We start from the raw sequence: 15,275 nt of genomic DNA, 5'->3' as shown, positions 1-15,275 counted from the left end.
TTTGGGCTTGCCTTTGTAAACTTTTTTTTTTTAAGGGTCAGTGTCTTGCTCTGCTGCCCAGCCTGGAGTGCAGTGGCTCAATCATAACTCACTGCAATTCGGTACTCCTGGGCTCAAGTGATCCTCTTGCCTCAGCTTCCTGAGTAGCTGGGACTACAGGCATGCACCATCGTGCTCAGCTAACCAAATTTTTATAAAGATATGGGATCTCAGTGTGTTGCCTAGGCTAATCCGGAATTCCTGGCCTCAAGCTATCCTCCTGACAGCCTCCCAAAGTGTTGGGATTATACATAGGAGCCACTGCACCCAGCCTGAACATTCTTGTACATATCTACAAGTGAAAACATATAAGTGTTTCTTTAGTATAGGTATACAGCTATGTGTGTGCATGCATACACATGAGTGGAATTGCAAAGTCTTTGATTTTTTAGTTCACGGATTGAAAACTAGACATGATTCAATGAGTAGTATACATAGAACAGAAAAATGATGGTATCCTGGGAGATTGTTATCTATTTTTTTTTTTTTGCCCTCAGGAATTATGCTTTTTTAAGTTTTACTGATCTTTAAACTTTGATAATTATAGTGAAGGTTTTTGAAACTTATTCATACTTATTTAATAATTGTTAGGTTTTATTTACCAGATTTTATTATTGACAAAATATTTGCATTTTTTAATTGTACAAATTACATTAATATTAAATAGGACACCTAGCATTACATAAAGATTTCAAATTCATTAAATCAGAGTAAAAAGTAAAAATGAGAGTGAGCCAGAGAGATATCTTTTTCTGAGAAAAATGTTTTCATAAATAAACTATTGTGATGGTACCATGTGAAAAAAATCAAAGGGATAAAATATGAAAATTCATACTAGACATGTTAATTGAGTCATGCTTAAAGAATATGTACTTTTATCTTGAACATCACAACTTATTACCAGGAGCTAAATTTCTTTTCTGGTTCAGGTTTGCCTGCTTACTGTGGAAGTCTCACCACAAATGAGCATATTTTCTCCTTAAACCAAGTTGTTAATAGCAATAATTGAAACTACTAATTTTCGAAAAATTTCCAAGGAGTTTTTTTAATGATAAACATTGAGATTAAGGAGGAATATTTTCCCCTTCATTTTATCTCTCATAAAAAACTTTATTGTAAGTAAGACACAGTAGAAACACAACTATACAAATGTATTCACATTTATATTTAGTCATACATAATATACACTAGAAACTGCTCAAGTCTGGGGGAACAAAACGCACAACAGAGAAAACTCTTCTCCTTTTACAAGGTTTGATTCATAAGAGAGGAAGAGAGATTGAAATGATGTCAGATGGTGGTAAGTGCCATTATTTTCTAAGGGGATAAACTCAAGAGTAGCATGAGTAATTTGGAATTGAAAGTTATGAATTTCTCTCTAGAGATGACATTGGAAGTGAAATATAAAAGATGGTGAAGAATTAGCCATTTAAAGACTTACATGCAAAAGGAAAAGAAAATGCTATGAATGCCAGATGACTCAGGATAGACATGGCTCCCAGAAATACTCCTACTTCTCAGTCACCTGGTGTTAGGTCATGAATGTGAAGCAGATGAAGTCCTATTGTTCTTTGAACTTGTCTTAAACACCTGGTACCACAGACATGTGAATGATTAAGGAAAAATGCTATAAATGCATGAAAACAGAAGTTAGCCAATGGAAAATTGTTTCAATCATCAGATTTAGAAAACACCAAGCAGAAGTTAGTTCATTTTGATGTCCTATTTAAAATTAAAGTCCTCTCCTTAACAGAGAGTATGCAAAGCTTGACGAAACCTCTGAAAATTTAGAAGATTTTGCCAATACTACATTGTACAGTTTTTCTGAATTATTAAGTTAAAAAAATCAACCACAGTAATAAAAAGATTTACCTATTCTCTCTGTAGAAAATTATATTACAAAATTGCCATCAAGTGTAAGCGTGATCAAATAAGTATTCCTTTAAAAATATGAACAATAGAGATATATGAGGTATGCTGGCATTAACCAATAAAAATGTCATGCTATTTTCTGCCTTTTTTGAAGTTTATAGTATATTATGTTGTGGAGGATTTTCCATTATAAAAGTATTTACTTCAGCGCTTACTTTCCCATTTGTAATTTGCATTTATATACTTTAAATATAACTCCCAATTTTGTTTAAGTTTTAGGATCCACATGTATACACATGAAGAGAGAGAGACAGAGAGAGAGAGGTATAGATGTAAGATATAGATCGACAGGGAGATAGATGTGTATATACAAATGTGTCTCTATCGGAATAGCTTAACGCATACAGTATTTGGTGAAGAATAGATTGAAAAGGGCAAGAACAAAAGTGGGGAGATAATTTAATATTACTTTTTTTTTTTTTACCAATTCTGATGCTTTAAACTATAGTGCTGGCAGCAGAAATGAGTAGAAGTAAATTCAAGATATATATTTGTGGTGGAATTAACATAAATGATGATGGAAATTATGAAACTGATGATTCAAAATTAAGTGAAAAGTCAAAAAATTTATTTCAGATAAGTGGTCATTAGCTGTGCCATTTACTAAAATGGTGAAGACTGAAGAAAATTGAATTTGGGGGTAGAGATTAAATTCAGTTTCAGAAATGTCATGTTTGTGATCATTGTAAGTTTTCCAATGAAATCAGCAAATGGGAAGTACAATACATATCAGAAGTGAGATCTGAATGAGAGACACACATTTAGAATTTCTCACAAGAAAACAATTCAGAACCATTTGAATGGGTTATATATACAGCTGTATTTTATGTATCCTAAGTTTGCTAGTGCAAATCCTGGCTGGAGTAAATTTTTAATAATATTTTGTTATTCCAATTTTAAACATTAAAATTATTTTCCCCATGTGTTTTTAGCTTACAAAATACCAACTTTTCAGAACATGATAACTATATTGCTGATTTAGTAGTAATTACATATATATTTCAATTTTCTTCATTGTAAATAATCTTGCAGAAGACATAAAATCATTCAAAATAGAAATAAAACTGTGGTGTATCTCATTAAAGATGTCATACCAAAATCATGTTTTTCTCTACTTTGCCCCAATGAAAATGAAAGTTAAATTTTTTACCAAACAGAAATGAAATGATAAAAGAAAGTTTGAAACATCAGAAGAAAGTACATTGAGCAAAAATATGGGTATGTACAAGAGAACTACTTTATTCTCTTGAGTCTTCTAAATTGTGATTAATAATTGAAGCAATAATTTTAAAATTATTTAGTTTGACTGCAAATATATATCAAGAAAATATTTAAGATAATTATCTTAAAAATTTAAGAGTGGAAAATAACTTAATAGTAGGTAAAGTTCTATATCTCATCCAAACTGGTAAACGAATGACACTACTAAACTGTGCCAAGTTTATATATAATATTTATATTTTATATATTATACATTTTTATATTTTATGTATTATATAAAATTTATATGTAATACATAATAGATACTATATGCCTAGTATATATTATATACCTTTATATATACTATATACTATACTAAAATTTAGATACACTATACAACATATATTTTCCTGGTATATACATATTATACAATTGTATATATTGTATAAATCATATATAATTAATACATCATATTAATATAATGTATTATATTCATGTAATACTAATACACTATATTAATATATTATTTTATTATAGATATCATATTATATCACACATATCATATTAATATAATATAATGTATTAATATTAATATATTACTACAGCATGTAAATAGTAATATATTAATATAATATATAAATATAATTATATATCATATAATATATTAATATGTTACATAATATACTATATTAATATATTATATGATATATTATATATATGAAATTAATATTGTAATGTACATTATAGATATTGTATATAGTATTATATATCATATATATATTATTATATATTGCATAGATGTTATATAATATATTAATAGAATATTCTATTAATATATTAATTCTATTAATTATTATTACTTCTAGTAGAATTAATCTAATAGAATATTTTAATTATATTAGAATTAACCTAATAGAATATATTAATTCTATTAGAATTTAATTCTATTAGAATTAATCTAATAGAATATATTAATTCTATTAATATATTAACACATTAATATTATATTACTAATATTATATAAATAATATATTAATTAATTAATATAATACTAATGTAATAATATATCATATTAATGTAACAATATACATCATATTATACATACAACAATAATATATCATATTAATGTAACTATATAAATATAATATGATATATAATTATATATAAATACTATGTATATACAATATATAGTTATATATAAATACTATGTATATACAATATACTAAAATTTATATATTAAATATACATTCCTATTATATATAAAATATATATACATATATAATATATATATTCACAATTTTTAGTAGAACCACTAAAACTATACAGTAATTGACACACTGAAAAATACCAGCCAAAGCAAAATGGAATTCTAAAGGAAAATGTTTAAATAATCACAAGAAGCCAGAGCAAGAAGGAAAAATGAAGAAAATACAGAAAACAAGAAAAATAGCTTAAAAACAGCGATAATTACATAAAATACAAATGGTATAGATGTGTTATTTAAAAGAAAGATTGATATAGTGGGTTAAAAACATTGCTCAATTACATGCTCTCTACAAGAAAGTTCAAATATAATGATGTAGACCTATTGAAAAGCAGGATTAAAAAGTCATTTTATAAAGAGAAAGTGGGAATCACTGTGTTGGTATCAGAATATTTAAATAGACTTCAGAGCAAACAAAATTACAAGGGCAGAGAAGAAATTTTATTATGAGAAATGGACCAATCCACCCATGACACATGGTACTTCAAAATATGCATGTAGCAAATAGTAGAGCAGCAAAATACATAAAGCCAAAACTTGTAACTGACAGAAGAAATAAAGAGGACCACAAATACAGTTGGTGACTTCAACTCCCCTCCCTCAACAACTGATCAATAACTAGACAGAAAATCAGCAAGGATATAGAAGAATTCAAAACTTAATGAACCAAGAGGAAAATGTTGAGATTTATAGACTATTCCACCAATAACTTCAGAGCACATGTTCTTTTCAAGCACCCCTTGGATTCCATACCCTGATGGAGCATAACTGGGCCATAAAACAAGTTTTTCATTGTATCACTTACCTCAACAAATTTGAGTTAAAATTATGCACAAGTTATCCAGCCACAATACAATGACGGTAGAATACAATAACAGAAAAATAATAGTAAATTCTCCAAACACTTGAGAAAGAAACAGCACACTTTAAATAATCCATGTGTTAAAAAGGAAATTTTAAGGAAAACTTAAAAATTAATTGAATCGCATAAAAATGAAAATACAAAGTATCAAGCTTTTTGGGACACAGCAAAAGCAATGCTGAAATGAAAGTGAGCAGCAATAACAGTATACATTTGAAAAGAGCAAACAGAAGAGCAAAATAAGCCCAAAGCCATAAAACTATAGTTAATAATATTAAGTAATTTATTCCATAGTTTAAAATAAGAGCGAAATTCGAATGTTTCTAAGACAAAGAAATGATAAATCCTTGAGTTAATGGATATCCCAATTACCCTCATTTGATTATTACGCATTGTGTGCTTGTTTCAAAATATCATGTGCATCATAAATATGTACAACTATTATGTATCCATATAAATTAAACATAGAAAATTTTAATCATCACAAAGATAATAACAGTAATATTAAAATTAAAAACTCAAAGAAACAAAGAACTGATTATTTAAAACAATCAAGTTGACACACCTCTAGCAAATCTGACAAAGTGAAAAAGATAAAAATTATGAATATCAAAACTGAAATGGGGATATCACTATAGACTTTGCAGACTTGAAAATTATACTAAGAATACTATAAACAATCCTACACGTATAAATATATCTTAAATAAAATGAACCAAATCCTTAAAAACACACAATTTGACACACCCACTGTAAAATAAATCATTTGCATAGTATTATAACGTGTGAGAGGACTGATTTTGTAATTTAAAAGGCAAATCTCCAGTTGCATGTAGTTTCACTGGAGACTTCTATCGAATGTTTACAGAAAAATTAACATAAATTATTCAAAATCTCTTTTAGACAATAGAAGAGGAAGAAACATTTTCTTTTTTTTCTTTCTTGAGAGGGATTTTCGCTCTTGTTGCCCAGGCTGGAGTGCAATGGCATGATCTTGCTCAGGCTGGAGTGCAGTGGCGCGATCTTGACCAACTGCAACCTCCACCTCCTGCCTTCAAGTGATTCTCCTGCCTCAGCCTCCCGGGTAGCTGGGATTACAAGCATGAGCCACCATGCCTGGCTAATTTTGTATTTTTAGTAGAGACGGGGTTTCTCCATATTGGTCAGGCTGGTCTCAAACTCCTGACCTCAGGTGATCCACCTGCCTGGGCCTCCCAAAGTGCTGGGATTACAGGCGTGAGCTACACCACCTGTCCTGGAAGAAACATTTTCTAATTCATTTTAGAAAGCTACAGTGATACCAAAATTTTAAAAAGACAATACACACACAAAAAAACTAGAGACCAATATACTTCATGAAATAAATGCAAAAATTTTTAACAAAAAATATGAATAAATACAATATAGCAATATATAAAAATAATTATATACTATGACATTTAATCTCAGAATTCAAGGCTGGTTCAGTGATTGGAAAATATTAATGTAATTCACAAAATATACAACCTAACATATTGCATGATCAAATAATTCAATGCAGAAAAAGAATTTGACAAATTTTATAGCCCATTACTGATTGTAAGTAAAACTCTGAGAAAGATAGGAATAGAGAAGAACTTCTTCAACTTGATAAAGAGCATCTACCAAAAAAAGAATGAAAATTAAACCAAACAAAAACAAAAAACCTACAGCTAACATTGTACTTAATAGTGAAAGGCAGAATTACTTTCCCCCGACATCAGAAACAAGGGAAGGATATTCACTTTCACTACTCTTTTTTTTTTAAATTATACTTTAAGTTCTAGGGTACATGTGCACAACGTGCAGGTTTGTTACATACGTATACATGTGCCATGTTCATAGTATGAGAAGTTCTGACAAGGACTTCTCATACTATGAACAAAAAAAAGTAATTAAAGTAATTTAAGGGAAAAAAAGTAATTAAAAGATATATGGATATAAAAAAAGGAAATAAAATTGTCTTTATTTGCAGATGAAATGATTTTCTATCTAGAAAATGTAGTCATACACGTACACGTGCAAAATAATCCCCCTGAGATTAATAAATTCAGTAAGGTGAACAACACAAGATAACAAATAAAATTATTTGTGTTTCTATATACACAAAATTAAGACATGGACACTGAAATTAAAAGTTTAATGACATTTATAACTGCTCAAAAAAATGAAATACGTGTAAAATGACAAAACATGAACAAGACTTGCAGTCTAAAAATGATGACATTAATCAAAGAAGATGAAACAAATGGAAAGACATACAGTGTTCATAGTTTGGAAGATTCGTTGGTGTTTTAGTTTGTTACTGCTGCCATAACAAATTACCACAGACTAAATGGCTTAAACCACAGAAATTTATTTTCTCACAATATTGAAGACTAAAAGTCAGGAATCAAGGTGTCAGCAGGGTTGGCTTCTTCTGAAGTCTCTCTCCTATTGTCTTTTATATGGTCATTCTTTCCTTCTGTGCCCCCATATGGTTTTCCTCTGTGTGTGTCTCTGTCCTTACTCTTTTTAGAACGCCAGTTATATTGGACTTGGGCTCATCTGAATTACTGCATTTTAACTGAATTACCTCTTTAAAGACGCTATCCACAAATGCAGTCACATTCTGAGCTTTGGTGGTGTTTTAGTCCATTTTCACGCTGCTGATAAAGATATACCTGAGACTGGGCAATTTACAAAAGAAAGAGGTTTATTGGACTTACAGTTCCACATGGCTGGGGAGGCCTCACAATCATGGCAGAAGGCGAGGAGGTGCAAGTCACATCTTCAATGGATGGCAGCAGGCAAAGAGAGCTTGTGCAGAGAAACTCCAGTTTTTAAAACCATCAGATCTCGTGAAACCCATTCACTATCATGAGAACAGCATGGGAAAGACCTGCCCCCGTGATTCAATCATCTCCCATCAGGTCTCTCCCACAACACATGGGAATTATGGGAGCTACAAGATGAGATTTGGGTGGAGACACAAGCCAAACCATATCAGGTGGTCATACATGAATTACGTGACAGGATGGGGCACAATTTAGCCAGTAATAATAGCAAGAATGTCAATTCTACCAAGATTAATAAAATTTATGAATTTAAGGCAATTCCCATCAAAACACCAGTAAGAGTTTTTGTAGTTATAGACAATATTATTCTAAAATATATATGGAATTCAACAAAGGAATTAAAAGATCTTAAATAATTTTCAAAATGAAGAATACAGTGGGAGAAAATAGTCTATCCAATTCTAAGATTTCTTTTATTAGCTATAGTAATTAAGACTATGTGGTATTGATGGAGGAATAGACTCATAGCTAAACGACAAAGAGAAGACAATTCAGGAATAGACCCAAAATATGCCCAGTTGATTTTTAACAAAAGTGCCAAAAGAATTCAATGGAGAAAAGATAGCCTTTTTTCACCGATGGTGCTAGAGCAAAACGCACACAAAAAAGTGAGCGTTTACATAAGTATTATACAGTATATGAAAATTAACTCAAAACTGATTATGGAATTAAATATAAAATGGAAAACTATAAAATTTCAAGAAAAAACTTGGGAGAAGATTTTGGAATCTTGAGTGTTCTTCGATTTTGACACCGGGATACAATGCATAGAAATAGTTGATAAATTGGCCTTTATTGAAATTAAAACTTTTTGCTCTGTGAAAGCCTCTGTTAATGGCACAATACAAGCTTTAAAATGGGAGACATGTTTGTTAATCATATATCTGACAAAGGGCTATGATGTACAATATGTAAAGAACTCTAAAAACTTAATAAAATAATTATTAACTATAATCAGGTGGATAATTAGAAACCAGACAAAAGACATGGAGAGATATTTTACCAACACCATTAACCATTAGATAAATGCAAATTAAAACCACAATGAGCTTTTATTACACACTTATAATTGCCAAAATAATATCCCTATAGTGAGTGACACCACCAGATGCTGGGAAGGATATAGAGATTCTGAATCCCTCATATATTGCTGACGGAAATTCAAAATAGTGCAGCCACTATAGAAATCAGTTTAGCAGTCTCTTAAGAAAAATATGTGCAATTATGTATGATCCAGCAATTGTACCCCAGAGGATTTATCCTAGAGAAATGAAAAGTTATGTTCACATAAAACCGGTACATGACTGTTTAGTTATTTGTGATAGCCCCAGACAAACAATGACTCATATGTTCTTCAGTGGGTGAAAGGTTAAACAGACTACAGTACCTCAATCCATACCACCAAATACTACACAAGAGTAAGAAGGAATGGACTACTGATAGACACTAAAACCTGGAATGAATTTCAGAGAAGTAAGTTGATTTTTTAAAAGTGAAAAAAATTGGCCAGGCGCAGTGGCCCATACCTGTAATCCCAGCACTTTGGGAGGCTGAGGTGGGCAGATCACGAGATCAAGAGATCCAGACCATCCTGGCCAACGTGGTGAAACCTTGTCTCTACTAAAAATACAAAAATTAGCTCGGTGTGGTAGTGCGCGCCTGTAGTCCCAGCTGCTCGGGAGGCTGAGGTAGAAGAATCGCTTGAACCCGGGAGGCGGAGGTTGCAGGCAGCCGACATCACACCACTGCACTCCAGCCTGGGTGACAGAGTGAGACTCTATCTCAAAAAAAAAAAAAAAAAAAAAAGTGAAAAAATTGAGGAAAAAAACATGTAAAAGTTTACATACTGTAGTATTCATACTGTAGTATTTTATTCATATAACATTCCTGAAATGACAAAATTATAGAAATGAAGAACAGAATATTATTTGTCAAGGGTTATAAAGTGGAGGGTGTATCATAATGGGGCCACATAAGCAACCATTGTGATGACAGAATTATTCTCCTTTTTAACGATGCCAATATATGAATGTCCTGGTTGTGATCTTGTACCATCATCTTGCAAGATAAGACATCACCATATCCAGAAACTGGGTATAGGATACATGATATCCCACTGTATTATTTTTTATGACTGCACTGCATGTGAATCTATAATTACCTCAAAAATAACATTTTATTTAAAAAATCAAATAGCAACATATAAATGCTAAATAAGAATTGTAGTCTTATCGTTGATATCATAGAACAAGAATTTTGCCAGTTTGATGTTTGTATTGTTATGACTTAGACTGACTCCTATGACCAAGTCCAAAGAAAATATTACTCTGTGCCTCCTCTTGTTCCACTACGCCCCATATGAGTACAGACCCAACCAGAAGACAGATCTATTTAGCAATCAACTGAGGGAAGCCTACTAAGTGTGCTTTTAGAGATATATTGACTAAGATTGCCTTAACGTGTCCCTCAGCTTGACTCAACTTTAGACAGATTTCTTCCTGACTTCACACTCCCTTTTCTTAGAATCTTTATGTAGAAAACTTGCAATTGTAAATTCCTTCTCTGTACCTTTAGAGATTTACATGTTTTAAAACTGCCTCTTGGCAGTTTACAACCCAGAAAAGTCTTTTCAAATACCTGGGAGCTATCTCGTTGAAATTAATCATCCAGGAAGCTAGCACTCATAGCTCCTGTTTTTTTGGGAGAGTAGGATCCTAACTTTTTGAGGGATCTTGTTTTATGTTGTCAAACTGCTTCCTGTTATGAAGATAGAAAGTTGACCCTTACTTTGGGTATGTCAGTTAGCAAACACACATAGCATGTAATTCCTTCATCTCAACTCTTAAAAGCTCCCGAGATTTTTGGTTCAATGGAGTTGCGCTCAGACTGTGTTCTGGCTTCTCTCCACTATTGCGATAGTCCTAATACAGTTACCTTTGTCCAGTGCAATCTTTGCTTGAGAAATATGAATAGACGTCTGTGGTCATAAAAGATTTTATGATAATCATTAGAAACAGAGAAAAAAAAGGTAGAGATTAAAAAAAAAAAGTAAATGTATTTTGGCAAAATAGAAGTTCTACAAAAGCCTGACAATAAAGTTGATGTTATTTTTTAATGGAGAGGAAGTAGAGGGGACAAGAAAGACAAGGATGTTTAAAATATAAAAATAAACTAAATAGGAGACTCAAACATCTTACTATATATATGGGGATACACCAAGCTAAAATCGAGAACTAATTTTTTGCACTGACAACATTCATGTTAAAAAAAAATCCTAAAAACCTCAAGGGAAAGGTTCATGAAAAAATAAAGCAACCTAAAAAAATACAATTCATACCGTATTTAATTCTTATCCACTTATAAAATATCAATGATGTGTAAAAACAAACTAAAAAATATATTTTTTTAACATCCAAGGCTCAGAAATGTCACATTTTAGTGTCATACCTTAGGAAGATCTTTGATTATGAGCTTAAGGGAAGAAAAAAAAAAAACTGGTACATAAATTCACTAAAAGAAAGTTTTTCTTTCTTTTTTTAATTAAAAAACACACACACACACACAAAAAGGCAAAAACAAAAACAAAAAAAACAGTCTCATCACACTGTAGCCCAGGATGGAGTGCAGTGGCACGATCTCAGCTCACTGCAACCTCCGCCTCCCAAGTTCAAGCGATTCTCCTGCCTCAGTCTCCCTAGTAGCTAGGATTACAGGCATATACCACCAAGCCCAGCTAATATTTTTTGTATTTTTGGTGGACACAGGGTTTCACTATATTGGCCAGGTTGTTCTCGACCTCTTGACCTCAAATGATCCACCCACCTCAGCCTTCCAAAGTGCTGGCATTACAGGCATGAGCCACTGCACCTGGCCAATAAGAAATTTTTGAAAATATACATTAAAAGGAAAAAAAGAGAGAGAAAATCAATACAGCAAGTAATGAAATTCCAGTACAGATCATTAGTAGGACTTATCAAAGAAAAAAAAGACATTGAACAGAATGAGAAGCGTGGCTTAAGGTTGACAGATGTTGAGGATGAAAGCCGTTAATATGATTGTTTAGATGGTCAATATGAACTCTAGAAATGAAAGAAACTGAGGATGAAAATTATTTTCCAAACATCACAATTTTTACCAATGGAAGAAATCCTATTAATGTAACATTGTCTCACAAGTGGTATTTGAATTGTGACTTTGAACACATATAGATGGAAAGGTAATTGGTATTCATTCTCGAATATGTTCACAACAATAATACTGCAAATGTTGTTTATTGGCTTTCAATTGTGAGTCATTGTTCAGGTCAAGGAAAGGCAATGTTATGCTTAAAGGATGGAATGAAAGAAAGAACTACAAAAATATAAAAGTATAACTGATACAAAATAAAATATGGAGAAAATTTGGTAGAGAGAGAAGAGGATTTATATTACATAAGGTTAAAAGTGAATCAAAAGATGATAAAATGATTATAGTTTAATCATGTTGTTTATCTTACAATAATTGATAGAAAAAACTAAAACAATTGTCAAACACAGAGATAGAGGAGAGGATTTGAGTAAGGGCAAAATATATATTAATATCAAGGAGTTCATAACTGTTATCTTGGGAGGCTGAGGCAGGCAGATCACCTGGGGTCAGGAGTTCAAGACCAGCCTGGCCAACCTGGTGAAACCCCATCTTTACTAAAAATCCAAAAAAATTAGCCAGGCATGGTGGCACATGCCTGTAATCACAGCTTCTTGGGAGGCTGAGGCAGGAGAATAGCTTGAACCTGGGAGATGGGGTTTATGGTAAGCCAAGATCATGCCACTGCACTCCAGCCTAGGTGACAAGAGTGAAATGCTGTCTCAAAAAATAAAATAAAAATAAATAAATAAATAAACAAACAAACATCTAATTTTGCTAAGTTAAGAAAATAACATACAACAGTATCTATTGTTATAGAGGATAAATAACTGAAATATAAGCAATTTTTAAAGAATTCCTCTGGAGGCTAAACTTGGAAGTGAGAAGGTTTTACAAGAGTGCTAATTTTCTTTATAAGATCTTCATCACCATGTGATTATTTTATGGCACATGCATATATTACTTGATAAAAACAAATATTTGAACAGTAAAACTCTACTTATTTATAATTGATAGTGATTTATGGTATAAAGATACTTACTGTTGAATTAATATAAAAAGTTTAGAATGGAAGCAATTTACCAATCAGGAACCAGAAATATAAATATTTCTTCAAACATTTTTTAACGTATGAAAATGTTCTTTTTCCTTGCTTTATACCACTGAATTTGCAAATATCACCGACCCAAGACTCTTCGTTCCCTCCTAGATACTTGGTTAGAAGCTGCATCTATTAACAAGTGCATCATGTGAATTACAAGTAAATAAAATAATTGGCTTTCAATTAGACTAAATTCCCACGAAGTGGATCATGCCCTAATTATGCCTTCCTAGTTTCAATAGCCACACTCCAACTCAAATGTGCTCTTAATTTAATTAATTATATTTTTTACTTAGGAAATTTTGTTTTGTATAAAAATATGCTTTCATGAAAATAGCTACAATAAAAATAAAGATTACACTTCACTGGGAATATACAATAAAGAGTAAGACTTACATAACTTTAGCGTGAAAGTATGATAACACTCATGTCTAACATTTGAAGTTATGAATTTTAAATATTGCTTCACTTCTGAAAAAAAGTTATCATCAATGTTTATATATTTGTGCTTCTGAAATAAATCATCCACTTATTCTATGTTTAAATCCCCCAGCTCTTCTAGTAAAAGATAAGTCACTATAGCTTTGTTACAAATAGGGAGGGGCTAGATCTGTAATCCTATCTCAGAAACCCTTAGTTATATCTTCTGAAATAAATGTTCCGGTTTTTTTTCATTTTATTTCCATAATTTTTATATATACCTATAAAATCATTTAGTCGCACATCTTGGCACCACATCACACACCTTTATCAATAAATGTATTACAAGTAAAAGGATGTAATTTTCCTTCTCTAGGTTTGATTAGTTTTCCATAATTTATGTCTCCCAATAAGGAGTATCATTAAAAATAATCACTGAACATTTATTTTGATTTAAGTCAATAAAGACTATTATTACTAGATAAAACATATTTCTTTATTTTAATTTTAATTTTTTAAAAAGTTCAAAATAAAATGATCAAGATAATAAAAGTCTGAAAATATTTTATTTCTAAATTTAGAAATGCAAGCTATGACAGGTTATAACTTTATCTTTGAAAAAAGTGCATGCAAAAAGCATAGTATTTTTTTAAATAGTGATTTAACTTCGGTATCCCAAAAGGGTTTTGAAAATTAAATAATTGGATGAGAAACTAGGTAGTCAGATTTCCAATATGATAATCACTCCTATCAACATTCCATGCATCTTAGCTATTGATTTATAATACAAATATATATAATAAAGTTTACAATTTATTTTTACATTATATACTCATTCAGTGCATTAAAATCATGGTCAATTTCATTACAGTATTTACAAATTGAAAATCTTGTTAGTTTTGATTAAATTTATCCATAGCAAGATAGTAAAAATTGAGAGACATATTTTCATTAATTAATTTTCAATTGTTTATGGTAAATCAGCTGACTCTGTTCCTTAAATGCATATAACTATAATTGTAAATATAAGATTTCAAAAAAATAAGAAAACAGAGAGTAGAAGACATATTTTATAAATATTTGCTTTGAAATTTTATATTTAACATTATTGTCAATTTGAACTAATGTTTCTTCTGAATTTCATTTGCTATCTTGTATCTTATAATTATTTTAGGGTTTTCACAAATATAATACATGTGAAGCTAACATTTCGTAATGTGTGTTCTAATTTTACTAATTAAAACAAATATCAAAATTTCTCTAATATTTAAAAGACAACATTGATGATGAGGTTTGAACTTACTGAATACTAAAATATTGTGAGAAACAGAGGTGTAGTTAGACATCACACTGGGCTCTATGAAAATGATAATATTTGACCACTATTTACGTACACAAATAGCAATTCGTATGGTTCAACATATTGGATAGATTTTTGTTATATTTGTGAAAAAATGCTGTAAGCATCAATATCTT

Source organism: Homo sapiens, chromosome 5 (assembly GCF_000001405.40).
Source record: "Homo sapiens chromosome 5, GRCh38.p14 Primary Assembly".
In the NCBI taxonomy this organism is placed as follows: Eukaryota; Metazoa; Chordata; class Mammalia; order Primates; family Hominidae; genus Homo; species Homo sapiens.
The sequence above is the reverse complement of the archived record's forward strand: the minus strand, read 5'-3'. Positions refer to the sequence as shown.